The sequence below is a fragment of the Homo sapiens genome, chromosome 1, assembly GCF_000001405.40.
Source record: "Homo sapiens chromosome 1, GRCh38.p14 Primary Assembly".
Classification (NCBI taxonomy): Eukaryota; Metazoa; Chordata; class Mammalia; order Primates; family Hominidae; genus Homo; species Homo sapiens.
The window spans coordinates 92,217,915-92,245,881 of record NC_000001.11 but is presented as its reverse complement, the minus strand read 5'-3'; the positions used below and the strand labels follow the sequence as shown (position 1 = coordinate 92,245,881).

General features: G+C 39.2%; 1 protein-coding gene and 1 pseudogene across 4 annotated transcripts; one reads left to right on the top strand and one right to left on the bottom strand.

Annotated features, from left to right (window-relative positions):
- C1orf146 (chromosome 1 open reading frame 146) lies at positions 69-27,967 on the bottom strand. 4 transcript variants are annotated; one of them, XM_011541447.3, is made up of 7 exons: positions 27,834-27,967; positions 22,206-22,304; positions 14,396-14,500; positions 3,577-3,670; positions 1,497-1,665; positions 1,025-1,103; positions 69-342 (listed from the first exon to the last, which is right to left on the bottom strand). In XM_011541447.3, exons 3-7 carry the CDS (start codon positions 14,459-14,461, stop codon positions 208-210), a joined length of 543 nt encoding a protein of 180 aa, XP_011539749.1. In that variant the 5' UTR covers positions 14,462-14,500; positions 22,206-22,304; positions 27,834-27,967; the 3' UTR covers positions 69-207. The 4 variants fall into 4 exon arrangements, with proteins under 4 accessions (XP_011539749.1, NP_001012425.1, XP_047276042.1 ...); NM_001012425.2 differs by lacking the exon at positions 22,206-22,304; XM_047420086.1 differs by lacking the exons at positions 3,577-3,670; positions 14,396-14,500; positions 22,206-22,304.
- Positions 16,447-16,880, top strand: ACTBP12 (ACTB pseudogene 12; annotated as a pseudogene).

Below are 27,967 nucleotides of genomic sequence, written 5' to 3'. Positions count from 1 at the left end.
CACCTGAGTTTTATGGTATATGTATGTATCAGTCCTTTGCTAAAGAGCGTTAAATCTTGCAGCGAAACTCCTAAAATAAAATCACTTTTAATTGTATATGTTATTATTTCAAATTAATATAAATGTCTTTAAATAGATATTTGAATATTATAATTTAACAGGTCTAATTATTTTCACATTCTTCGAGAAAAACATTAAGTTGGTACTCTAATTTGGGTTAACTGAATCACTATTCAGTTTTATCTTCTGAAGTGTTTTCCAAACAGGACTTTGCTCAATGATGTAAGCTTTAGCTGTTATCATTCTGTAGCAAATGCTATCTATGTATGGTTTGGAGGTAGTCTGGAAGAAGATATAAAGATGCAGCATTATTTACAGAAATAAGGTATTTTCACAAGGTCACATTTAAAAATACCTGACTTTCATTCTTTCAGCAAATCTCTTGATCATCTTTGTGCTAAATACTATGTATGAGTTACTAGAGTAGTCAACAGGAAAATACTTAGTTTCTATCAAGGAATTTTAAACATGCAAGCCAAAAAGTAGAATATATAAAAATTGCTTTAATGGGGATATGTTCCAAGTATAAAAGCAAGGAAGACCTAAGTCTGCCTAGGGGGTTGGAGGTGTCTGGGCACACTTTGCAGAGGACAAAAAGCAAGAAAAGAAAGTAGACAATTGGTAGATGACATTCCATAAGGTAGTATGCTTGCACTCTGACCGTTTATGACTTCAATCTGACCAACCCTTATAACTTTAGAATTTGAATGAAGATATAAGTAACCAATAGGGCCAGCCAAATGCTCTTTTGGCCCCAAGTGAGTCTTAAATGGTAGTGGCTACTGGAAGTAAATTGAGAAGACTTAAGAGAGTTAGGCTTGGGAAAAAGTTGCACCCTGAAACAGCAACTCCCGCAGGGGAACAGAAGCATGATATTTGCCAGTCTCGCTCAAAAGGGTGACAATTGGAAGTTAAAAACCTTAAAATGTATGTGTGTATGTGTCATATTCCACGGGTGACTCACCTTTGCTATAGTGCACATAAGATTAATAGCATTTACTGTGTTGTGTACTGGAAGTATTCGTAAGTTACAACCCAGGAATCTGAAAAACAATTCATGTTATACAGATCATATAACTTGCTGACATCTGTTCTCTTAAGAAAGTGGAAAGAAGAGACAAATCTCTATTGTTTGTTATTTGTCTATGCATTCATGCCCTGCCTTACTCCACAGAGGATTTGAGATGGCTTTATAGCCAGAACATCACTGACTAAAAAAGTGTTCACTTTTGGCTTGGTCTTGGAGAAGCCCTTGCAACATCATGAACCCTGTCACCTCGATTCATAGAATAGCTATTTGGCCCATGTTTCATTAAATTTGATAGGTTAACATCACAGTGTTCATCATCTAGCAAAACAAAACTTACCTAAAAGAATTAAGAACTGAAATAAATACAATATAAGAAAAATAAGTCTATAATGCTATTCTTCCATACCTCTGCTGAATCCTGAACATCAGTTTCCATTCTTCAGGCCCATGGAGGGCAGCAGACAAAACCAAAAAACTATTTTGGTGAATGTTAATAAATTTCTCAATTTTGGCTAGAAATATTTCTTCAGTTGACAGAAGACATTCCTTAGTATCCATTAATAAAAATGCAACTCCTAGGAAAGGTGAATTGAATATAAAATGTCACTTTGTTATAGAGATGAAATTTTGTTATAAACTCAAAATCAACCAAAATAACTAAGTATACCACATGTGTCCAAGCCCTAAACTCATAAGGAATAGAAAGTACTATAATGGAATTCCTACACAACAAAATAATTTAGGTAGTTCTTTGAAGTGCTCTGTATAAAAGAATGACTTGTGCTAAATAAGAGAAAAACTTTTTTGGATCAGTAACTACTGTTTTTTTTTTTTTCCTAGATGAAGACATTGTCCACATGAAGATACTGGGTAGTTTTTCATTAAAAAGATGAATTACATTTAAAAAGTTAATTTTTCATGTTATACTTTTAAAATATGTACTAGTTTATTATAAAGGACACTACAAAGGATACAGATGAAGATATGTGTAGGGCTAGGTATGTGGGAAGGGACATGGAGCTTCAACGCCTTCTCTGGGCCTGCCACCCTCCAGACACCTCCATGTGTTCAGCAACCAAGAGGCTCTTATTAATTATTTTTAAAAGCTGGAAATCAGCTAAAGAAAGAGAGTCTTAAGCAAGCCTTTGGCTGGGTGCAGTGGCTCACACCTGTAATCCCAGCACTTTGGGAGGCCGAGGTGGGCGGATCACAAAGTCAGGAGTTCGAGACCAGCCTGACCAACATGGTGAAACCCTGTCTCTACTAAAAATACAAAAATTAGCTGGGTGTGGTGGTATGTGCCTGTAATCACAGCTACTGAGGAGGCTGAGGCAGGAGAATGGTGTGAACCCAGGAGGCGGAGCTTGCAGTGAGCTGAGATCACACCACTGCACTCCAGCCTGGGCAACAAAGCAAGACTCCATCTCAAAAAATAAAAAAAAGAATTATATAAATTAATACACTCAGTGAGCAGATATCTGCAATCTCTGAAACAGTGTCAGGCCATTAAGAATGGTCCTAAAGGGAAACTTGATTATAGCTCTTCAAACGATGTGGGAGACAGTCTGAGGAAAATGATTGTGATTATACACTAATTGAGTAAACTTGGGCAACTTATATAACCTCTCTGAACATAAGTTTCCTCTTCTGTAACATGGGAGTAAATTTTTTGTTAGATTTGTCAGAAGGATAAATTAGATCACGTATATGAAGTAGCCAAGGCAAATATTCACCAAATATTTTATTTCTCCCTGGAGGGTTCTGTATTTAACCAGAAGAATAAGTTTGAGGCGATACCACTTTCAGCCTGGAGATCTATTCTAGGAGCTTTTTTGAATGTGCTTGTCTTCCAAAACTGCTAGAAGAGTCTATTTGCAACCCTCCAGATAAAATCCTTTACCTCTACCTTTTTAAAAATCACTTCTGTCATTTCTCAAGCACAGGTGGACCTCCCCCCTTCCCATCTCCTCAGCCTTCTCTTATCCTAATCTAATTCCTTACTGGACTTTTGTCCATGACTAACAGTTATATCAGTTGTCATTTCATGAACATTTATTTGTCCCCATGATTCTTTTGGTTAATATTTATATTATATCCAGCAAACTCTTATAAAAATTAATGGAAAACATTCTATTTTTTTTGTATATCAGTTTTGACAAATGTGTCCTCTGTTAATGCAAGTAATACTTTAATGTAAGTATAGATTGTTGGGAAAGTGGCTTTTTCTATTTTCATCTCAGTTCCAAAGTAGTTTTTTCCCATCTTCTACCAGACTCCACTAGTTCAGCTTTATTTTAACAATTGTAATCTAAAAAGGAATATATTTTGGAATTGGCCATATGGACTGTTTGTAGTAGTAACAAAGTTTTACACATTTACCCTTCCCAAAAGATAATACATTACATGGTTACTGAACTATGAAGTCATTAGAATTTATACCAACATATTTCATAAGAAACTTAAGGCAGTGAGCAAATATACCATACCAGAAAGAGAAAATATAATTGATCCATTTTCCACTGAATCTGAATATCGAACTTTGTGGCTTCGATTTTCTAGGGCAGTTGCAACTTCATAACTCTTTTTTAAAAAATATCAGAAATACAAATTTAAGGCATGCTTACAATTGTATTAAAGCTAAAGAAAAAATTAAAAGTTTAATATGTTGTTTTATAACTACCACTTAAAGATATGATCATCAAAAGATAAATAAATATGCTTTCTATGGAGAAAAAACTTTAAAAAAGCAAAAACATTTAGTTCTACTGAAACATTTATTTCAAGTTTGGGAGTGAGTTACGTACTACAGTTATGTTACTTAGGAACAGAACTTAAAGACAGCATTAAAAAACTGTATAAACCAGAGCAAATGCAAATTTCTTTTTCTTTTTTAGAGACAGATGAAGTCTCACTTTGTTGCCCACGCTGACTTTAGACTCCTGAGTTCATGCAATCCTCCCAAAGTAGCTGGGACTATAGGTGTACGTCACCACACCCAGCTGCAAACTTCACTTTAAAAAAAAACTTGGGTGGTGGCTCATGCCTGAAATCCCAGCAATTTGGGAGGCCAAGGTGGGCAGATCATTTGAGGTCAGGAATTTGAGACCAGCCTGACCAACATGGTAAAAGCCCAAAATTTGCTGGGTGTGGTGATGCATGCCTGTAGTCCCAGCTACTTGGGAGGCTGAGGCAGGAAAATCACTTGAACTCGGAGGTGGAGGTTGCAGTGAGCTGAGACTGTGCCACTGCACTCCAGCCCAGGTGACAGAGCAAGACTCTACCTCAAAAAACAAACAACTTGGAGGCTGGGCATGGTGGCTACGGAGACCTTGGAGGCCAAGGCTGGTGGATCATTTGAGTCCAGAAGTTCAAGACCAGCCGGGGCAACATGGCAAAACTGCTTCTCTACAAAAATTAGCTGGGCATGGTGGCACATGCCTGTAGTCCCAGCTACTCACAGGCTGAGGTGGGAGAATCACTTGAGCCTGGGAGGTTAAGGCTGCAGTGAGCCATGATTGCACCACTGCACTCCAGCCTGGGTGACAGAGTGAGACCCTGTCTCAAATAATAATAATAATAATAATAATAATAATAATAATAATAAGCAACTTGGAGATGGATTCTGACATGCATTAATGTATAACTATGGAAAATAGGTGGTTGTATATTTCTTAAATAGTTGACAGAACCACATAGTGCCAGACATATACAATACCATCACAGAAGACAACCAATTTGACAATTCATCAGTTTACATTACAGTTACTTTAGTATACTTTTAAAATGTTTTAAGCCTTAGATGAGTCATAAAACATGTAAGAAAACAGCTATAGGACTCTTGGTTTTAATACTAACCATTTCAAATATCACCTGATTTCCTATTCCACCCAGGCAATTAAATCATATTACCCACAATACTAAAATCTAGGTGGTTAATAGTTTTTCCTGATAGGTTAAAATTTAAACTTGGCCAGGCACAATGGCTCACACCTGTAATCCTAGCACTTTGGGAGGCTGAGGTGAGAGAATCACTTCAGCCCAGGAGTTTGAGAACAGCCTGGGCAATGTAGCGAGACCTTCTTTCTACTAAAAATTAAAAAATAAATAAAAATAATAAATAAAACTCAAACTTGTTAGTTTCCAGATAGATAAAAATCTCTTAGGTAGATTAATTTTATTTTCTGTTTTGCCTCAGAACATGTATATGTTAAGCACACAGGCTGAAATTATGTATAAAAATACATGCTTCCTTTCTTTTCTAAAGAGTATTTTGTGTCACTCAGATAGATCCTGACCTACAGTTTAACTATGGCTCTTTTCTTCTGCTGTTTTAAAATTATATAATGCTTCCAGCAATGGCAGATTAAGTAATTTAGGCCAACCCGCCTGCTGAAGGCAACTAGAAAAGCTGGACAACCTTTTAAAATCTGCTTGAATACACCAGAGAGCTAACAGGATAGTAAAAAATTATAAGGCCAAGATCTACACAGAAATTCAAATATATGAGCAAGTATTTAGGCCACTTTTTTCCCTGAGGGCATCTGCCAGCTCAGAAAGAGGCAGAAGAGAGGCTGAACAGATCTTTTGACGAAAATAGAACAGCTCTCACAGGGACTATAGCCCAGCTTCAAACCATTTCAATCCCTGAAATTGTATTAAGGTGATAAGTGAATTACTAGTGCTTCCAAGCACCTTGCAGAAGCACTCTCTGGAGCAACCTTTCCCAATCAGGTCTCCTCATCTGAATTATGGAACAAAGAAAATGATCTGAGTGACTATTTTCTCAATTCTCTCATAGCCAGATGTACAGGAGACAATTTAGTTCAACACTCTAGATGTATAGGATACAACTTAATTCATCATATAAAAGAGATGCCTTAGGAGTTGGGTTGTCAGACTGAGCAAATAAAAATACACAACACTCAGTTAAATGTGAATGAGTGACAATGCAATTTTCAATATAAGTATGACCTATGCAATATTTGGGACATAATTACAGTAAATTCACTGTTTATCTGAAATTCAAACTTTTTTTTTTTTTGAGACAGGGTCTCACTCTGTCACCCAGACTGGAGTGCAATGGCATGATCTTGGACACTGCAACCTCTGCCTCCCAGATTCAAATGATTCTCCTGCCTCAGCCTCCCAAGTAGCTAGAATTACAGGCATGCACCACCATGCCTGGCTAATTTTTGTATTTTTGGTAGAGACAGGGTTTCACCATGTTGGCCAGGCTGGTCTCAAAACTCCTGACCTCAAGTGATCCACCCACCTTGGCCTCCCAAAGTGCTGGGATTATAGGCATGAGCCACTGCACCTAGCTGGAAATTCAAACTTGAGTGTCCTGTATTTTATCTGGCAACCCTACTTAGGGCATCAGGAATTTAATTTTCTTACAGAATTAAAACCTCTCAAGGGGAAGATAGCACTATTCTAGGCTTCAAATTATTTCTACAATTTTTCAAATACAAATTCCAACATATAATAAAAAATAATCAGACATACAAAGGGACACAATTCCATTAAAGAAAACTATCAGAAACAATAGAGAACAGAAACAGGCCCACAAGGGATCCATGTAGTGAATCTATCAAATACACACCTTAAAACAGCCTGTTTACTATGATCAAGAAGATAAAACCTAGCTTGAGAATTTTGGCAAAGAACTAGAAGATATGTTTAAAAATGTAAAAAACATGAGTTAAGAAAGCTCCCTAAAATTTGATTCAAATAGGGCCAGGCACAGTGGCTCATGCCTATAATCCTAGCACTTTGGGAGGCCAAGGCAATGGATTGCTTGAGCTCAGGAGTTCAAGACTGGCCTGGGCAACATAGTGAGACCCTAATTAAAAAATAAACAAAAAATATAACAAAAAATCTGAGTCAAATCTTTAAAATAAAAAGCAGTGTATTAAGCAGACAAGTGAAGGAAGAAGACAAATATGAGAAGAGTATGGACAGAAAGAATAACATAGGTAAAGGCATTCAGACCTAAAGGTATGGTTCTTATATGGTGAGTGTGTAAGGTATACACAAGTCAGCTAATTTGGGTACAATGTTAGGAATAACTGCAGGCAGATCATGAGCACCCATAAATATCATGCTAATGAATTTCAATAATATCCTTTTATCAGGAGGAGGAGGAGCCAACTAAAAGAATAAAATAATGGAATGCTTAAAAAAAAAATGGTAAAATTAGAAAGTATTGAATTGAGAAAACAGTAAGTTCAAGAGCTGATTCATCAAAATGACCAGGAAGCTAAGTATAGATTTTTCAAAATATGTTTCATAGAATATTAGTCCTATGAGATATTAAAAGATGCTCCGGATTGAAATAAGATTCGGAAATGCTGAATATTATCTCATCTCTTTTTGGGGTTTTACAATGCATTTGAGCATATTAAAGTCTCTGAATAATAGTGCAGTAAAAAGAAAACCAAACCAAAACAAAAAAACACTTGTTTAACTTTTATACCAGCATCCCAAATAAAATCCATACAATACTCCTTCCTGCATATGTAACATCTATTAATAATATTTAAAACTAGTATTATGTCAGCCAGGTGTGGTGGCTCAAGCCTGTAATCCCAGCACTTTTGGAAGCCATCGTGCAGGTTGTGGGGGCAGGCAGGGATCGGAGTTCGAGACCAGCCTGGCCAACATGGTGAAACCCCGTCTCTACTAAAAATACAAAAATTAGCCGGCGTGGTGGCAGGCACCTGTAATCCCAGCTACTTGGGAGGCTGAGGCAGGAGAATCACTTGAGCCCGAGAGGCGGAGGTTGCAGTGAGCCAAGACTGTGCCACTGCACTCCAGCCTCGGCGACAGAGCAAAACTCCATCTTAAAAAAACAAAGAACAAAAACTAGTATGTCTATCACTCATAAGGAAGAAAATGTAAGTAAAAACAGGAATGAAAAGGGGCACTTAACAGTTGATTAGAAAATTTAAAAAATGACAACATGAAACTTTTCACCACAGAAATGTAAATTTCATAAAGTTCAACTTAACACATTTAAAAGCCTCTATAAAATGGGCAAATGTTTGTAAAAATATAATTTATGGGGGAGGAGCCAAGATGGCCAAATAGGAACAGCTCCTGTCTACAGCTCCCAGCATGAGCAACGCAGAAGACAGGTGATTTCTGCATTTCCATCTGAGCTTTGAAGAGAGCAGTGGTTCTCCCAGCACGCAGCTGGAGATCTGAGAACAGGCAGACTGCCTCCTCAAGTGGATCCCTGACCCCTGAGCAGCCTAACTGGGAGGCACCCCCCAGTAGGGGCAGACTGACACCTCATACGGCCGGGTACTCCTCTGAGACAAAACTTCCAGAGGAATGATCAGACAGCAGCATTCGTGGTTCACAAAAAACCACTGTTCTGCAGACACCACTGCTGATACACAGGCAAACAGGGTCTGGAGTGGACCTCTAGCAAACTTCAACAGACCTGCAACTGAGGGTCCTGTCTGTTAGAAGGAAAACTAACAAACAGAAAGGACATCCACACCAAAAACCCATCTGTACATCACCATCATCAAAGACCAAAAGTAGATAAAACCACAAAGATGGGGAAAAAACAGAGCAGAAAAAATGGAAACTCTAAAAAGCAGAGCACCTCTCCTCCTCCAAAGGATCACAGTTCCTCACCAGCAATGGAACAAAGCTGGACAGAGAATGACTTTAACGAGTTGAGAGAAGAAGGCTTCAGACAATCAAACTACGAGCTACAGGAGGAAATTCAAACCAAAGGCAAAGAAGTTAAAAACTTTGAAAAAAATTTAGGCGAACGTATAACTAGAATAAACAATACAGAGAAGTGCTTAAAGGAGCTGATGGAGCTGAAAGCCAAGGCACGAGAAGTACGTGAAGAATGCAGAAGCCTCAGGAGCCAACGCGATCAACTGGAAGAAAGGGTATCAGCGATGGAAGATGAAATGAATGAAATGAAGCGAGAAGGGAAGTTTAGAGAAAAAAGAATAAAAAGAAACGAACAAATCCAGCAAGAAATATGGGACTATGTGAAAACACCAAATCTACGTCTGATTGGTGTACCTGAAAGTGACGGGGAGAATGGAACCAAGTTGGAAAACACTCTGCAGCATATTATCCAGGAGAACTTCCCCAATCTAGCAAGGCAGGCCAACATTCAGATTCAGGAAATACAGAGAACGCCACAAAGATACTCCTCAAGAAGAGCAACTCCAAGACACATAATTGTCAGATTCACCAAAGTTGAAATAAAGGAAAAAATGTTAAGGGCAGCCAGAGAGAAAGGTCGGGTTACCCACAAAGGGAAGCCCATCAGACTAACAGCAGATCTCTAGGCAGAAACTCTACAAGCCAGAAGAGAGTGGGGGCCAATATTCGACATTCTTAAAGAAAAGAATTTTCAACCCAGAATTTCATATCCAGCCAAACTACGCTTCATAAGTGAAGGAGAAATAAAATCCTTTACAGACAAGCAAATGCTGAGAGATTTTGTCACCAGCAGGCCTGCCCTAAAAGAGCTCCCAAAGGAAGCACTAAACATGGAAAGGAACAACCGGTACCAGCCGCTGCAAAATCATGCCAAAATGTAAAGACCATCGAGACTAGGAAGAAACTGCATCAACTAACGAGCAAAATAACCAGCTAACATCATAATGACAGGATCAAATTCACACATAACAATATTAACCTTAAATGTAAATGGGCTAAATGCTCCAATTAAAAGACACAGAATGGCAAATTGGATAGAGTCAAGACCCATCGGTGTGCTGTATTCAGGAAACCCATCTCACATGCAGAGACACACATAGGCTCAAAATAAAAGGATGGAGGAAGATCTACCAAACAAATGGAAAACAAAAAAAGGCAGGGGTTGCAATCCTAGTCTCTGATAAAACAGACTTTAAACCAACAAAGATCAAAAGAGACAAAGAAGGCCATTACATAATGGTAAAGGGATCAATTCAACAAGAGGAGCTAACTATCCTAAATATATATGCACCCAATACAGGAGCATCCAGATTCATAAAGCAAGTCCTGAGTGACCTACAAAGAGACTTAGACGCCCACACACTAATAATGGGAGACTTTAACACCCCACTGTCAACATTAGACAGATCAACGAGACAGAAAGTCAACAAGGATACCCAGGAATTGAACTCAGCTCTACACCAAGCAGACATAACAGACATCTACAGAACTCTCCACCCCAAATCAACAGAATATACATTTTCTTCAGCACCACACCACACCTATTCCAAAACTGACCACATAGTTGGAAGTAAAGCTCTCCTCAGCAAATGTAAAAGAACAGAAATTATAACAAACTATCTCTCAGACCACAGTGCAATCAAACTAGAACTCAGGATTAAGAAACTCACTCAAAACTGCTCAACTACATGGAAACTGAACAACCTGCTCCTGAATGACTACAGGGTACATAATGAAATGAAGGCAGAAATAAAGATGTTCTTTGAAACCAATGAGAACAAAGACGCAACATACCAGAATCTCTGGGACACATTCAAAGCAGTGTGTAGAGGGAAATTTATAGCACTAAATGCCCACAAGAGAAAGCAGGAAAGATCCAAAACTGACACCCTAACATCACAATTAAAAGAACTAGAAAAGCAAGAGCAAACACATTCAAAAGCTAGCAGAAGGCAAGAAATAACTAAAATCAGAGCAGAAGTGAAGGAAATAGAGACACAAAAAACCCTTCAAAAAATTAATGAATCCAGGAGCTGGTTTTTTGAAAGGATCAACAAAATTGATAGACCGCTAGCAAGACTAAAAGAAAAAAAGAGAGAAGAATCAAATAGACACAATAAAAAATGATAAAGGGGATATCACCACTGATCCCACAGAAATACAAACTACCATCAGAGAATACTACAAACACCTCTATGCAAATAAACTAGAAAATCTAGAATAAATGGATAAATTCCTCGACACATACACTCTCCCAAGACTAAACCAGGAAGAAGTTGAATCTCTGAATAGACCAATAACAGGAGCTGAAATTGTGGCAATAATCCATAGCTTACCAACCAAAAAGAGTCCAGGACCAGATGGATTCACAGCCTAATTCTACCAGAGGTAAAAGGAGGAGATGGTACCATTCCTTCTGAAACTATTCCAATCAATAGAAAAAGAGGGAATCCTCCCTAACTCATTTTATGAGGCCAGCATCATCCTGATACCAAAGCCTGGCAGAGAAACAACAAAAAAAGAGAATTTTAGACCAATATCCTTGATGAACATTGATGCAAAAATCCTCAATAAAATACTGGCAAACCGAATGCAGCAGCACATCAAAAAGCTTATCCACCATGATCAAGTGGGCCTCATCCCTGGGATGCAAGGCTGGTTCAATATACGCAAATCAATAAATGTAATCCAGCATATAAACAGAACCAAAGACAAAAACCACATGATTATCTCAAAAGATGCAGAAAAGGTCTTTGACAAAATTCAACAACCCTTCATGCTAAAAACTCTCAATAAATTAGGTATTGATGGGACGTATCTCAAAATAATAACAGCTATCTATGACAAACCCACAGGCAATATCATACTCAATGGGCAAAAACTGGAAGCATTCCCTTTGAAAACTGGCACAAGACAGGGATGCCCTCTCTCACCACTCCTATTCAACATAGTGTTGGAAGTTCTGGCCAGGGCAATTAGGCAGGAGAAGGAAATAAAGGCTATTCAATTAGGAAAAGAGGAAGTCAAATTGTCCCTGTTTGCAGATGACATGATTGTGTATCTAGAAAACCCCATCGTCTCAGCCCAAAATCTCCTTAAGCTGATAAGCAACTTCAGCAAAGTCTCAGGATACAAAATCAATGTACAAAAATCACAGGCATTCTTACACACCAATAACAGACAAACAGAGAGCCAAATCATGAGCAAACTCCCATTCACAATTGCTACAAAGAGAATAAAATACCTAGGAATCCACCTTACAAGGGATGTGAAGGACCTCTTCAAGGAGAACTACAAACCACTGCTCAATGAAATTAAAGAAGATACAAACAAATGGAAGAACATTCCATGCTCATGGGTAGGAAGAATCAATATCGGGAAAATGGCCATACTGCCCAAGGTAATTTATAGATTCAATGCCATCCCCATCAAGCTACCAATGACTTTCTTCACAGAATTGGAAAAAACTACTTTAAAGTTCACATGGAACCAAAAAAGAGCCCTCATTGCCAAGTCAATCCTAAGCCAAAAGAACAAAGCTGGAGGCATCACACTACCTGACTTCAAACTATACTACAAGGCTACAGTAACCAAAACAGCATGGTACTGGTACCAAAACAGAGATATAGATCAACGGAACAGAACACAGCCCTCAGAAATAACGCCGCATATCTACAACTATCTGATCTTTGACAAACCTGAGAAAAACAAGCAATGGGGAAAGGATTCCCTATTTAATAAATGGTGCTGGGAAAACTGGCTAGCCATATGTAGAAAGCTGAAACTGGATCCCTTCCTTACACCTTATACAAAAATCAATTCAAGATGGATTAAAGACTTAAACGTTAGACCTAAAATCATAAAAACCCTAGAAGAAAACCTAGGTATTACCACCCAAGACATAGGCATGGGCAAGGACTTCACGTCTACAATACCAAAAGCAATGGCAACAAAAGCCAAAATTGACAAATGGGATCTAATTAAACTAAAGAGCTTCTGCACAGTAAAAGAAACTACCATCAGAGTGAACAGGCAACCCACAAAATGGGAGAAAATTTTCACAACCTACTCATCTGACAAAGGGCTAATATCCAGAATCTACAATGAACTCAAACAAATCTACAAGAAAAAAACAAACAACCCCATCAAAAAGTGGGTGAAGGACATGAACAGACACTTCCCAAAAGAAGACATTTATGCAGCCAAAAAACACATGAAAAAATGCTCACCATCACTGGCCATCAGAGAAATGCAAATCAAAACCACTATGAGATATCATCTCACACCAGTTAGAATGGCAATCATTAAAAAGTCAGGAAACAACAGGTGCTGGAGAGGATGTGGAGAAATAGGAACACTTTTACACTGTTGGTGGGACTGTAAACTAGTTCAACCATTGTGGAAGACAGTGTGGTGATTCCTCAGGGATCTAGAACTAGAAATACCATTTGACCCAGCCATCCCATTACTGGGTAATACCCAAAGGACTATAAATCATGCTGCTATAAAGACACATGTACACGTATGTTTACTGCGGCACTATTCACAATAGCAAAGACTTGGAACCAACCCAAATGTCCAACAATGATAGACTGGATTAAGAAAATGTGGCACATATACACCATGGAATACTATGCAGCCACAAAAAATGATGAGTTCATGTCCTTTGTAGGGACATGGATGAAGGTGGAAACCATCATTCTCAGCAAACTATCGCAAGGACAAAAAACCAAACACCGCATGTTCTCACTCATAGGTGGAAATTGAACAATGAGAACACATGGACGCAGGAAGGGGAACATCACACTCTGGGGACTGTTGTGGGGTGGGGGGAGGGAGGACGGATAGCATTGGGAGATATACCTAATGCTAGATGACGAGTTAGTGGGTGCAGCGCACCAGCATGTCACATATATATGTATGTAACTAATCTGCACACTGTGCACATGTACCCTAAAACTTAAAGTATAATAATAAAAATATATATAATTTATGAAAATGGACTCACAACAAAGTATAAAACAAAATACAGCAAAAAGCATAAAACCACACGTTACTATGGAACAATCATTTCTTGCCCCTTCATTCCAGACATCAGCTGGTGTCCGTAAGATAAATATCAGGGCAATGGAGAAGTCTTGTGAGCTGAGGAGTTTAAAACGGTTGTGAGCTGACCACCTGCTCTCAGGCATTCAACTTTCCATCTCTCCCTCTCCAAACCATAAGGAGACAGTCTCATTCCAGTGCTGCCAAGGCTAGGATATCAGTTTCTGGTTCTTTAGCTCTCAGAAAGCCTTAACTAATATATATTTGCATATCTTTACTGTTTCCGGAATTCCTTAACATCTCTATTAGAGTGCTTACAGAAGGAAAAAAAAAAAAACTTTAGAAAATCTCCAACCTTCAAAGAATTAAGGAAGTCGGATGTTGAAAATGAATGGAAAAAGTCTATTAATTTATCTTTAAAATACATTTAGCTTATGTACTTCCTGCTCCCCACAATTAATTGTGGATAATTAAGCTAAGAACCTTTTAAAATGTTGTTCTATATGAAAGCTGCTTTTAATTTTTTTAAGTTAAAGATCAGTGGCCCAAATGCCCCTTTACCTTAAGAGATGAGCTAATAATAATGGTGGTTGTCCATTTTATTTTTTCTTTTCCACTTTCAGCCATCTGTCTGTGGATCAACCTAGCTTCTAATGGTGCAACAATCTGAGAAAATTAAGAACACAAAGAATGCAAAGAAATATCTGATGAATGAGTAAATTAAAGATGGAAATAAAACTAGGGTATTGGAGACATTTTAAAGAATATTTGAACATCAAAATTTGACAACAGAAAAAGTATCTGTCTTGTTATACATTTAGCCTATTCAATACTATGCTTCCCATTAACAAGTATCAAAAGCAATGATTCCCATTTCAGCACACTAACTTCAAAGAATGAGGACTTGCATCAAGAACACGCAAGGTCTGAGGTTTTTATCCTACCTGCAAGCTAAAAAGTTAGCCTGCCAGAGTTTCACTTATACAGATAAAAGACAGACTCAGAGACAAAGGACAGTTTTTCACTCAGAGCAATAGCAGTATAGCCACAGCACCATTATTTTCTTACACTAGTTCCTCAAGCCCAATTCCCACAGGGTGATGGGACAAAGGCCAGGTGACATCTGCACACACAGTGGGTTGTATTATAGGAAAGAAACCCAGAGCTTAGGAAACCTGAATCTTGTAAGCAAACCTGTCTTCTACTATGGAGGGAAATACTATATATCTCACATAGGGAATATGTGAGGTAGGACCTGAATATTTGCATTTTTTTTTAAAGAGGGTCTCACTCTTTTACCCACAGGCTGGAGTACAGGGGTGCGATCCTAGCCTCAAACTCCTAGGCTCAAGCAATCCTCCTGCCTCAGCTTCCCAAGTAGCTAGGACTACAGGTATGCACCACCATGCCTGGCTGATTTTTTTTTTTTTTTGAGACGGAATCTTGCTCTGTTGCCCAGGCTGGAGTGCAGTGGTGCAATCTCGGCTCACTGCAAGCTCCGCCTCCCAGGTTCATGCCATTCTCCTGCCTCAGCCTCCCAAGTAGCTGGAAACACAGGCGCCCCCCACCACACCCAGCTAATCTTTTTTTTGTATTTTTAGTGGAGACGGGGTTTCACTGTGTTAGCCAGGATGGTCTCAATCTCCTGACCTTGTGATCCACCCGCCTCGGCCTCCCAAAGTGCTGGGATTACAGGCATGAGCCATCGCGCCTGGCCAATTTTTTTTTTTTTTTAACTTATTGTGGAGATCGGGGGCAGGTCTCCCTACGTTGGCCAAACCAGTCTTGAACTCTGGCTTCAAGCGACCCTCCCACCTCAACCTCCTAAAGTGTCAGGATTACAAGTGTGAGCCACTGCACCTGGCCAATATCTGCAGTTCTAAGAGGTACACAGGTGATGCTGATGATACTGGTCTGGGGACCACACTTTAAGAACCACTGCACTAAGAGAAGGGAGAATATTCTGCAGAACAACAACAACAATGCACCATACAGTGGCAACCAGGTATACAGTAAAACAAAATTGCATTTAAGTTCAGCGTGCTAAAGTTTATAGTATACGTATGAGGTGAGAAGAAAATTACCATAAACTTAGTAGCATGAAATGGAATCTCACTGAGCTCTAAATCTGCTACTTTTCTAATTTCATTGAGACTGAAAACCCTAAAGTCATATCTCCACATGTCTTTTGCCCATTTTCCTATTACTTTTTTCTTTTTCTTATATATTTGTAGGATTTCTTTGTATATTATAGATATCAGTCCTTTGTTGGCTATGTATTTTCTACCTGTTTGTGACTTGTCTTCTGTGCCACCCCCCCTTCTTTAGGGTAATTCTTGATACACACAAATTATTATTTCCAATGTAGTCAAATTTATCAATCTTTTCATTTATGGTTAGTAGGTTTTGTTTCTTATTTAAGAAATCTTCCTGGGCAGCCATCTTGTTCTTGCTGCACACTGGAGTTGGAAGACCTTCTCTGCTTCAGATTAACCAACAGCACAAATCAAGAAAAGTTAGCCAAACTTCCGGATCAGGTCCAGAATGGGGACAAGGGTACAGCTCACAGAAAGAAGATGGTACAAAGAACAGCTACAGCTGATGACAAAAAGCTGGAGAAGAGCTACAAGCTGCCCGACGGCCAGGTCATCACCATCGGCAACGAACGGTTCCGGTGTCCGGAGGTGCTGTTCCAGTCTTCCTTCCTGGGCATGGAATCCTGTGGCACCCACAAGACCACCTTCAACTGCATCATGAAGTGTGATGTGGACATCTTCAAAGACCTGTACGCCAACACAGTGCTGTCCAGCGGCACCACCATGTACCCAGACATCACCAACAGGATGCAGAAGGCAATCACTGCCCTGGCACCTAGCACCATGAAGATCAAGATCATTGCACCCCGAGAGCGAAAGTACTCGGTGTGGATCGGCGGCTCCATCCTGACCTCACTGTCCACCTTCCAGCAGATGTGCACTAGCAAGCAGGAGTATGACAAGTTGGGCCCCTCCACTGTTCACCACAAATGCTTCTAAATAGACTGTGAGCAGATGCATAGCTTTTGCTGCATGGGTTAATTCAGAAGTATAAATTTGTCCCTGGCAAATGCATACATCTCATGCTAGCCTCACGAATCTGGAATAAGCCTTCGAAAAGAAATTGTCCTTGAAGCTAGTATCTGATATCAGCACTGGATCATAGAACTTGTTGCTGATTTTGACCTTGTATTCAAGTTAACTGTTCCCCTTGGTATTTGTTTAATACCCTGTACATATCTTTGATTTCAACCCTTAGTACATGTGGCTTGGTCACTTCGTGGCTGAGGTAAGAACATGCTTGCGGAAGACAAGTCTGTGGCTTGGTGAGTCTGCAAGGCCAGCAGTCTCCGATCTGTGCAGGGTATTAATGTGTCAGGGCTGAGTGTTCTGGGATTTCTCTAGAGGCTGGCAAGGGCTCCTGAACCAGTTGTTTCTGTCCTTTCAATCAGACAATCTGGAGAGTCACAGCTGTATCTAGAAAAACTCTCTGCCAGAAGCAAAAGTAAATCCCCTATGGAGGAAGATATTATCCAGAGCCTTAGGTTACAAATTAGTGTTATAATTTTGCAATCATAACACCCAGCACACAATAAAAAAATACCCAGGCATACAAAGAGTTAAGAACAGACTGAAAACCAAGAGGAAAAAGCTGACTGTAATGAAGAGACCAAGGGGAGACTGAAATACTGGCATTGTCATATCCAGACTATAAATGATTAATTTGTTCAAAGCAGTATATGACAATTGGAGCATTTTGGCAGAAAATTTGAAACTGTAAAAGTAAATAAAATGGAAATTCTGGAAATGAAAAAATATCAAAATTGGAAACAATTTAATGGATAGGTTAAAGAGCAGGTTAAACACAAGTGTGGAATGTAGGTCAGAGGAAAATATCCAGACTGAGGTAGGTTAAGCAAAAGGATAAAGAACACAGAGAAAAGCATAATACACACACAAGGCATTATTAGGCTTGTGAAATGGTCTAACAGAGAGATAACTGAAGTCTGAGAAAGAGAAAAGAGAATGGAGCAGGACCAATACATAAAAATAGAGTGGCCAAGTCAATTTTCCAAAATTGACTACAGACATCAAGTTGTAGGTTCAAGAGCAATAATAAATCTGAACAGATTAAACTAAGCAACAGATTAACAAAGTAAAACCAAAAAAAAAAAAATCTTCAAAGGAGCCAGTGAAAAAAGGTGTATTATTTTTAAAGGGAAACAATAAACTGAAAACTGACTTCTCAATAGAAACATGGTAGCTAGGAGGCAACTGAATAATAGCTTTTAAGTGGTGAAAGGAAATAATTGTCAACATAGGATATCATAGCTGAGATTAATATGTTTTTAAAATGAGGGAGAAATAAAGAAAAATTTTATGACAAAAATAAAATCAGAGACTTCATCATCAGTAGACCCACACTTAAAGAAGATACCAGGAGAAGTTCTTTATTTTTATTTTTATTTTTTTTGAGATGGAGTCTCGCTCTGTCACCCAGGCTGGAGTGCAGTGGCGTGATCTCGGCTCACTGCAACCTCCGCCTCCCGGGTTCACGCCATTCTCCTGCCTCAGCCTCCTGAGTAGCTGGGACTACAGGCGCCACCACGCCTGACTAATTTTTTTGTATTTTTAGTAGAGACAGGGTTTCACCATGTTGGCCAGGATGGTCTCAAACTCCTGACTTCGTGATCCGCCCGCCTCGGCCTCCCAAAGTGCTGGAATTACAGGCTTGAGCCACCACGCCCGGCCAAATACCATAAGTTCTTTAGGCACAAGGCAAATGATCCCACATGGAAGCACAAAGATGCCAGAATAAATGAAGACTAATGGAAAGGAGAACTGTAAATATGTGGGTAACTCTAAATCAAGAATGACTACAAATAAGAACAATAATATATAAGGAAGTTTAAAATAGATGTTCAATTAAAATATACAACAATAGCAAAAAAAAGGAGAAATGATGGTAACTGTACCTAAGGTGCTTTAGGTCCTTGAAGTGGTAGAAGTACTCACTTATAGTGGATCTTGATAAGTCAATCATGCATTTTGTAATTTCTGAGTTAATCAGCAAATTATGGTTTAAAAAACTCAACAAGGTAATAGAGAAAAACAGATTTAAAGCAAACAAACAAACAAAAACACTTCAGAAGTCCAAAAGCAGGCTAGAGAGAGAAAAAAGAACATATAACTTGAGGGACAAATAGAAAACGAATAGTGACATGGCATACTAAACCCAAATACATCAGTATCTACATATAAGACTAAATTCTACAACTGAAAGAAAAGATTGCCCCAAATGACAAGGGAAAAACCATATGCTGCTTACAATAAAAACACTTTAACTACTAAGATATAAAAAGGGTGAAAGTAAAAGGATGGGAAAACATATACCACACAACCATTAACCAAAAGAAAGTTGCTACCATATGTTAACTTGCATCCATGTTAAGAATGAAGAGAACCATAAGTGGTAAATAGATGCATAAATGTAAGACTAAATAAATACGTATTTTCCTCAGTTCTCTTAATTTCTCTAAAAGATGAATATATAAAGCAGTAATTATATTATTGGGTCAAGTGTGTGTGTGTGTGTATGTGTGTGTGTGTGTGCATGCGTGCATGTATGCATGTGAGTATATCGGGAGGAAATGGAGCTATATTGGTGCAAAGTTTCTCTATTTTTCCAGAATTTAGCGTTAATCTGAAATAATTAAGATGCATATTATAGTATCCAGAGAAAGTACTAAGAAAATAACAAAAAAAATTTAGAAGTCAGAGGAATCAAAGTGGTGTACTACAAAATATTCCTATAACACGAAAGAGGTAGTAAAGAAGGAACAAAGGAACAAAAGAGACATGAGACATTTAGAAACTAAATAGCAAAATGGCAGACTTAATAGTGGTGACGGTTGTACCTCACAGTGGATGTACTAAAAATCACTGACTTGTACATTTTAAAATGTATTTAATGTCACATGACTTATATCTCAATTTAAAAATTTTTTAAATAGCAGTCAGCAATACTGAGTAATTACATTAAAATGTGAATGGATAAGATTTTACAGTCAAACCAAAATCCAACTATATGTTGTCTTTAGATTCAAGGATACAAATAGGTTGAAAGTAAAAGAATGGAAAAAGATATATCATGCAAACAGTAACCGTAAGAGAGCTGGAGTGGCTATACTGATAAAAAAACAAAATAGACTTTAAGATAAATATCAACTGAGACAAAGAGGGATGTATTATAATGATAAAAAGGTCAATATATCAGGAATATATAACAATGTATATCCTGATACATACATTCCTTATATATTATATATTCATCTAACAGACCTCCAAAATACATGAAACAAAAGTCATACAAACTACAATAAAATTAAATTAAAAATCAATATAAATAAAAAATTTGAGGGAAAGCCATGAATACTTGGAAATCAAACACACACTTCTAAGTAACCCATAGATCAAAGAATAAATCATAATGGATGTTAGGCAATATTTTGAAATGAGTGAAAACAAACATAAAACATAAAAATTTATGAAATGTAACTAAAGGAGTACTTAGAGGGAAACACATAGCTTTAAAAGACTAAATTAGGCTGAGTGCAGTGGCTCACGCCTGTAATCCCAACACTTTGGGGAGCCAAGGCCAGTGTACTGCTGGAGCCCAGGAGTTTGTGCCCAGCTTGGGCAACAGGGCAAAACCCCATCTCTACAAAAAAGTACAAAAATTAGCTGGGTATGGTGGCACACAACTCTAGTCCCAGCTACGTGGGAGGCTGAGGAGGGAGGATCACCTGAGCCTGGGGAGGTTGAGATGACTGCTCCACTGCACACTAGCTAGACTGGGTGACAGAGTGAGACCCTGTCTCAAGAAAAAAAAAAAAAAAAAAGAGGCTAAACCGGAAAAGAAGAATGATGTCAAATTAATACCTTATTCCATCTTATCTTAAAATAGGAACAAGCCGGGCACGGTGGCTCATGCCTGTAATCCCAGAGCTTTGGGAGGCCGAGGTGGGCAAATCACGAGGTCAAGAGATGGAGACCAACCTAGCCAACATGGTGAAACCCCGTCTCCACTAAAACTACAAAAATCAGCTGGGCGTGGTGGCACGCGCCTGTAGTCCCAGCTACTCCGGAGGCTGAGGCAGGAGAATTGCTTGAACCCAGGAGGCAGAGGTTGCAGTGAGCCGAGATCGCCAGCCTGGTGACAGAGCAAGACTCCGTCTCAAACGAAAAAAAAGAAGAACAAATTAAACCCAAAGCAATGGGAAAAAAAGTAATAAAGATTAAAGCAGAAATCAATGGAATAAAAATAGAAAGAATAAAGAAAACAGTTCTTTGAAAAGATCAACAACATTGATAAACATTGAGCTAGACTGTCTTTACGATAAACGGTGTTGGAACAATTCAACATCAGTATGTTTTAGAAAATGAACTCGGATCCATTCCGTACACCATATCCAAAATTTAACTCAGAATGAATCATAGGCCTACATGTAAAACATAAAACTGTAAGTCTCCTAGAGGAAAATAGGACATAATAATTGTGACCCTGAGTTAGGTAAATAATTTTTAGTATGACACCAGAAACACAATCCATAAAAGAAAACAAATTGATAAACTGGACTTAATCTAAGTTAAAAACTTCTCTCTGGCCGAGCATGGTGGCTCATGCCTGTAATCCCAGCACCTTGGGAGGCTGAGGCGAGCAGATCATGAGGTCAGGAGATCAAGACCATCCTGGCTAACAGTGACAACCTGTCTCCACTAAAAATACAAAAAATTAGCCAGGTGTGGTGGTGGGCGCCTGTAGTCCCAGCTCCTCGGGAGGCTGAGGCAGGAGAATGGTGTGACCCTGGGAGGAGGAGCTTGCAGTGAGCCGAGTTCATGCCACTGCACTCCAGCCTGGGCGACAGAGCAAGACTCCGTCTCAAAATAAATAAATAAATAAATAAATAAATAAATAAATAAATAAATAAATAAATAAAATAAAACAACAACAACAACAAAACTGCACCAGTAACACCTACATTTATAAAAATGTTTAAAAAGACACTCTTAAGGGCAATAAAAAGACAAGCTAGAGACTGGAAGAAAATATCTGCAAAGCAAATATCTGGTAAATGACTTGTACCCCGAATATATTTTTAAAGACCCTTAAGGCTTGGGCTCGGCATGGTGGCTCAGGCCTGTAATCCCAGCACTTTGGGAGGCTGAGGCATGTGGATCACTTGAGGCTAGGAGTTTGAGACCATCCTGGCCAACATGGTGAAAACCCATTTCTACTAAAAATACAAAAATTAGCCAGGCGTGGTGGTGCGTACCTGTAGTCCACAGCTACTCAGAAGGCTGAAGCAGGAGAATCGCTTGAGCCCAGAAGGCAGAGGTTGCAGTGAGCTGAGATCGTGCCATTGTACTCCAGCCTGGGCAACAGAGCAAGACTTTCTCAAAAAACAAAACAAAACAAAAACAAAAACAAAAAGACACTCAAGGCTCAATAGTAAAAAACCAAACAACCCAATTAAAGATTTAAGCAGGTTATTCACCAAAGAAGATATATAAGTGGCAAATAAGGACATAAAAAGATAGTCAACATTATTATTAGGGAAATGCAAATTAAAGCTACAAGATACCACTACATACCTATTATAATGGCTAAAATTTAACAAACTAACAGTATCAAGTGTTGGTGAGGATGTGAGGAACTAGAACTCTCATACACTACTAATTGGAAAGTATATGGTACAAGCACTTGGAAAATAGTTTGACATTTTCTTAAAAAGTTAATCATATACTTACCATGATATCCAGCCATTTTACTCCTAGGTAATTTACCAAAGAAAATAGAAAGCATACATCTATACAAGGATTTACACATGAATGATTTATTTGTAGTAACCAAAGACTAGAAACAACCCAAATGCCCCCCAACAGGTGAATGGACATTGTAATATATTCATACAATGGCGTATTACTCAGCAACAAAAAGGAATGAACTATTGATACACATAACCCGAGTCACTCTAAAAAATTATGAAGGAAAGATGCCAACCCCCGCCCCCAAAAGCATAGCACATATTGTATAGTTTATTTTATATAAGAAATACAAACGATAGGCCAGGCGCCGTGGCTCACACCTGTAATCCCAGCACTTTGGGAGGCCGAGGTGGGCGGATCACAAGGTCAGGAGATTAAGACCATCCTGGCTAACATGGTGAAACCCCATCTCTACTAAAAATACAAAAAATTAGCCGGGCGTGGTGGCAGGCGCCTGTAGTCCCAGCTACTCGGGAGGCTGAAGCAGGAGAATGGCATGAACCCGGGAGGCAGAGCTTGCAGTGAGCCAAGATGGCGCCACTGCACTCCAGCCTGGGCAACAGAGCAAGACTCCGTCTCAAAAAAAAAAAAAGAAAAAAGAAAAAAGAAATACAAACTATAGTGACAAAAAAAAAAAAAAAAAAAAAACCGAAGAAGGGATAATGGGAAAAAAAGTGGGATTACAGAAGGGAAGGAGGAAACCTTTGGGATGGGTATATTCACTATATTGATTGTAGTAATTGTTTCACAGGTGTATAAATGTGTCAAAACATCACAGCATACATATGTTATACATGCATGTTATATATGTTATATATACATGCATGTTACATTATATATACACATGCATGTTGTATATGTTATATATACATGCATATGTTATACTGCATATAAATTATACAATATAGACACACATGCACACAAATGCCTGTATTTATTTTTTGAGACGGAATCTCACTCTGTCACTATGGCTGGAGTGCAGTGGCATGATCTTGGCTCACAGCAGCCTCCGCCACCCAGGTTCAAGTGGTTCTCGTGCCTCAGCCTCCCAAGTAGCTGGGACCACAGGTGTGCGCCACCACGCCTGGCTGATTTTTTTTGTATTTTTAGTTAAGATGGGGTTTCGCCACATTGGCCAGGATGGTCACTCCTGACCTCAGGTGATCTGCCCACCTTAGACTCCCAAAGTGCTGGGATTACAGGTGTGAGTCACCACACCCAGCCATCTTACAGGTTTTTAAATAGCTCTGAAAATATTCAATAATGATAAGTGTGTCATTTTAAAATTAGCAAATTCTGTTGTGTCAGAAGAGAAGTACAGGAGTCCAACACCAGGGCTACTTAAAATATTTCCTATGGTGAGATTCTGGTATCTGCAGCAAATCTGGCTACTCCAATGCCAATTGCTTACTATTGCTGCTATGGAAACTAAAATTAATGCCAGGCAGTTGAAATCAAGCAAAGAAAGCAAAACTAATCCCTTGTTATGCATAGTGAAAAATAACCTCTTTGAAACACTTTGATATTCACTGAAAAAGGTCCCAGAAGTTACCACATCCCAATTATTTTCCAAAAGGAAAAATATCTTCAACTTTTAGATAAAATAATCTGCACTGCTTATAAAGCTAGAAAAATACCACCTTTGCTCTTACAGCATGTTGTTTCAGTGGTAAAAATTTCTTTTTAAATTTCAACTTTTATTTTAGATTCAGGGGGTATATGTGCAGGTTTGTTTCATGGGTATATTGTGTGATGTTGAGGTTTGTGGTACAAATGATCCTGTAACCCAGGTAGTGAGCACAGTACCCAAAAGGTAGTTTTTCAGCCCTTATCCTCCTTCCTCCCTCTCCCCTCTAGTAGTCCCCATTGTCTATTGTTTGTATCTTTATGTCCATATGTACTCAATGGTTAGCTCCCACTTATAAGTGAGAGCATGTGGCATTTGGTTTTCTGTTCATGCACTAATTCACTTAGGATAATGGCCTCCAGCTGCATCCGTGTTGCTGTAAAGGACATGATTTCTTTCTTTTCATGGCTGCATAGTATTCTATGATGTATATGTTCATTTTCTTTATCCAAGTCATGATTTAATTTAATTCCTGCTTTTTCCATGAATTAAAAATATTCTTTGTCTCTGAGGCATCTTATATATTCTGCAAGCATCTATAAAACAGTAACAGGCTAGCTTATTAGCTTGCAAGTAGGATAAGACTTTTCACAGTTCTTGGCAGGCATTATCTACTAAAGTTGAAGATACTCGTAACCTGTAACTCTGCAACTCTACTCCTAAATGTATGCTCAACAGAAATGCATGTGATCTGTACTAAGAGACTTATACAAGAATGCTCATAACAGCATTTTTAAAAACTTCATTCTTCATGCTTTTGTTTAAAGTCTCTTTTTAATCCTACCTCTCAAGGCTAGAATGGTCCATAGTTAGAATTGGCGGTCACAGTATGAACTCATTGTTAATATAGATACAGAAGAATACACACAGAAATATTTTATAGATACAGTCATGCATTGCATATTAACTGTTCAGTCAACAATGGACTTCATATATGACTGGTGGTGCCACAAGATGATAATACTGTATTTTTACTTTTTTTACATTTAGATATGTTTAGATATGCAGGTTGCCTACAGTATTCAGTACATTAACATACTATACATATTTGTAGCCCAGGAGCAATAGGCTATACCATATAGCCTAGATGTCTAGTAGACTACACCATCTAAGTTTGTGTAATTACACTCTATGATGTTCTCACAATGACAAAATCACCTAATGATGCATTTCTCAGAACACATCCCCATCATTAAGCAATGCATGACTGTATGTGTATATACCCAGATTAGTACACACACATCTATTTCTTTACTCTGTTAGCTGAAAGGGCCTAAAACAAACGACACCCTAGCACCTGGGTGCTAGCAACAAGTACACCTAGCACCCAGATTTTGGTTTCTAAATAGCATTCTCCAAAAAAGGAACCAGGGCTCCTTGGAGAAATGGTCGATTCTAGGACTGGGACAGGAAACATACAAGATGAGTCCAGAGTAGTGCCAAAAAGAAAGTACTTAAAAACAAAAACAAACAAACAAAAAAACCCCACACAGATGGCATTGATGGGGCATGTCATAAGAGCACAGGAACCAACTGAAAGAGCTCCCAATGGCTAAAGCTGGAACAATTTGAGCAAAATAAAATAGCATTATAATCCAAAGTATAAAGTGAATATCCATGAGTCTATACTGATATAAAGGTTTGAACAAACCAATAAATGGAGAAGAGACAAATCTGTGCAGAATAATTCCAAAAAATTTATGTATATATACTCCAACCTTAAGAACAGGAGCATGGAGCTGGGCACAGTGGCACACACCTATAATTCAAGCTACTCGGGAGACTGAAGCAGGAGGATTGCTTAAGGCCAAGAGTTTGAGGCTGCAGTGCATTATGTTTGCACCTGTAAATAACAACTGTACTCCAGCCTGGGCAACATAGCAAGACCCTGTCTCTAAAAATATTAAACAGTGGGGGTGGGGAATATAACTCCCCATTCCTTAGGTGTGGCTGCACACCCAGGAGGTGGAGGTTGCAGTGACCTGAGATCCCATTCCTGCACTCCAGCGTGGGTGATAGAGCGAGACTCTGTCTTAAAAAAAAAAAAAAAAAAAAAAAAAGAAAGAGAAAGTCACTTTCAGTGATGGTAAGTTAGTATCTCCCAAGGTGATTTCATTCTACTTTTCAACAACTTTAATAATTAGAAAGTTCTTCCTGCTGAGTTGAAACCAGCTGCTCTCTAATTTCCTCATTTATTGCATGAATGAATGAATGAGAAGTTAACTAGCTCCATGAGAGCAGGGACACATTCTGATTCTGTTTTACCTTACTCAGCACCTGGCACTCAGTAGACACTCAAAGATTTGTGAATGAGTAAATGGTGAGTTGGCTGGGGGAAGGGCTTCAACTTCTATAACCCCCCCTACACATACTTACTAATACACCCACATAGCTATGAATACATATATGCAAAGGTTACAAGAACTTTTTGGAGTAGTTACTGGTATGTATGTGGATATGTATGTTTGTGCCTATCAGTTAGTAATCCATAAATGTTCATTTAAATCTTTACACCCTTATACATAGGTTTTAAAAACAATTTAACTAAAGCTAAGAGAAGTAAAGTAATCACGTGCACAATAAGTGAGAAAGGAGTGGGGTCAGTCGTGTCCCAAGTCCCTGTTAAAGGTGAGGAATGAATCAGAAACCTGGGGCTGGGGCAGTGCCTTCTCAGCATTTCTGGGGAAAAGCTCCTCGACCAGCAGCCAAGCAAGGACTGTGTGGCTTTGGGCAAATCACGTCACCTCTGGTTAGGCTGCATCCTCACCTGAAAACAAAAAGCTTCTAAACGGGAGGTGAACGCTGAGCGTGCAGGGACAGAGGGGAGGGGCAGGCGCGGGGGACGGGACCGGGGGACCAGAAGGTGGAGGAGGGACAGTCACTAATGGGCACCTGGGGGACGACAGAATCTGGACAACAAACTCCCGTGACACGAGTTTAACCTATGTAACACACCTGCACACGGACTCCTGAACCTAACATAAAAGTTAAATTAAAAATAAAAACAAAAAGCGTGGGCCCAGTGGCCTCTTAAACCTTTGCCAGTTCCAAGGCCCTGGTATTCTGGGCTTTTGTTGCTACTGTTTTGTTTTTTCCAAGCTCTGGAGTGTTTGCAAATTTAAGTTTAACACTGCCCCATCATCTCCAGCAAGTCACTTTCCCTGCTCAGTCTCCTCACGGGTCCAGTGAGGCGCCGGCCTACAAGGATCTTCACGGTCTCTTCCATTCTTTACTTTTCGGAGTGACCAACAAAGCCTAAAGCAAATAAAATTTACACTCGCAGGTGGGTGACGGACTTCTGACAGGGAAAACCCCGAGGGAGCCCTTTCCACACCGATTCTCAAGGGGAAAATAGGGTGGGCAGGATCTCCTCCCCTCACCCGCCAAAGCCCTGAGGTAAAGCTCTGAGCTCGGCAAGTCAGAGAGCACTACGCCGGCGAAGAACGAAGAAAGAAAAACGCGAAGAGACAGGTCTGCCGAGGCCTCATCCCCAGCGCTGCAAACCCACCTGCTCACCAGGTCCTCAGAGACCGCTCAGGGTTTCCCAAACTTCCAGAACGTTCCGTGAGCAGTGAGAGGCGCCGCCGGTAGGGCAGAGCGCCCAGGGTGCCTGGGGCAGGGTTCTGCAGTCGCTGGGCTTCT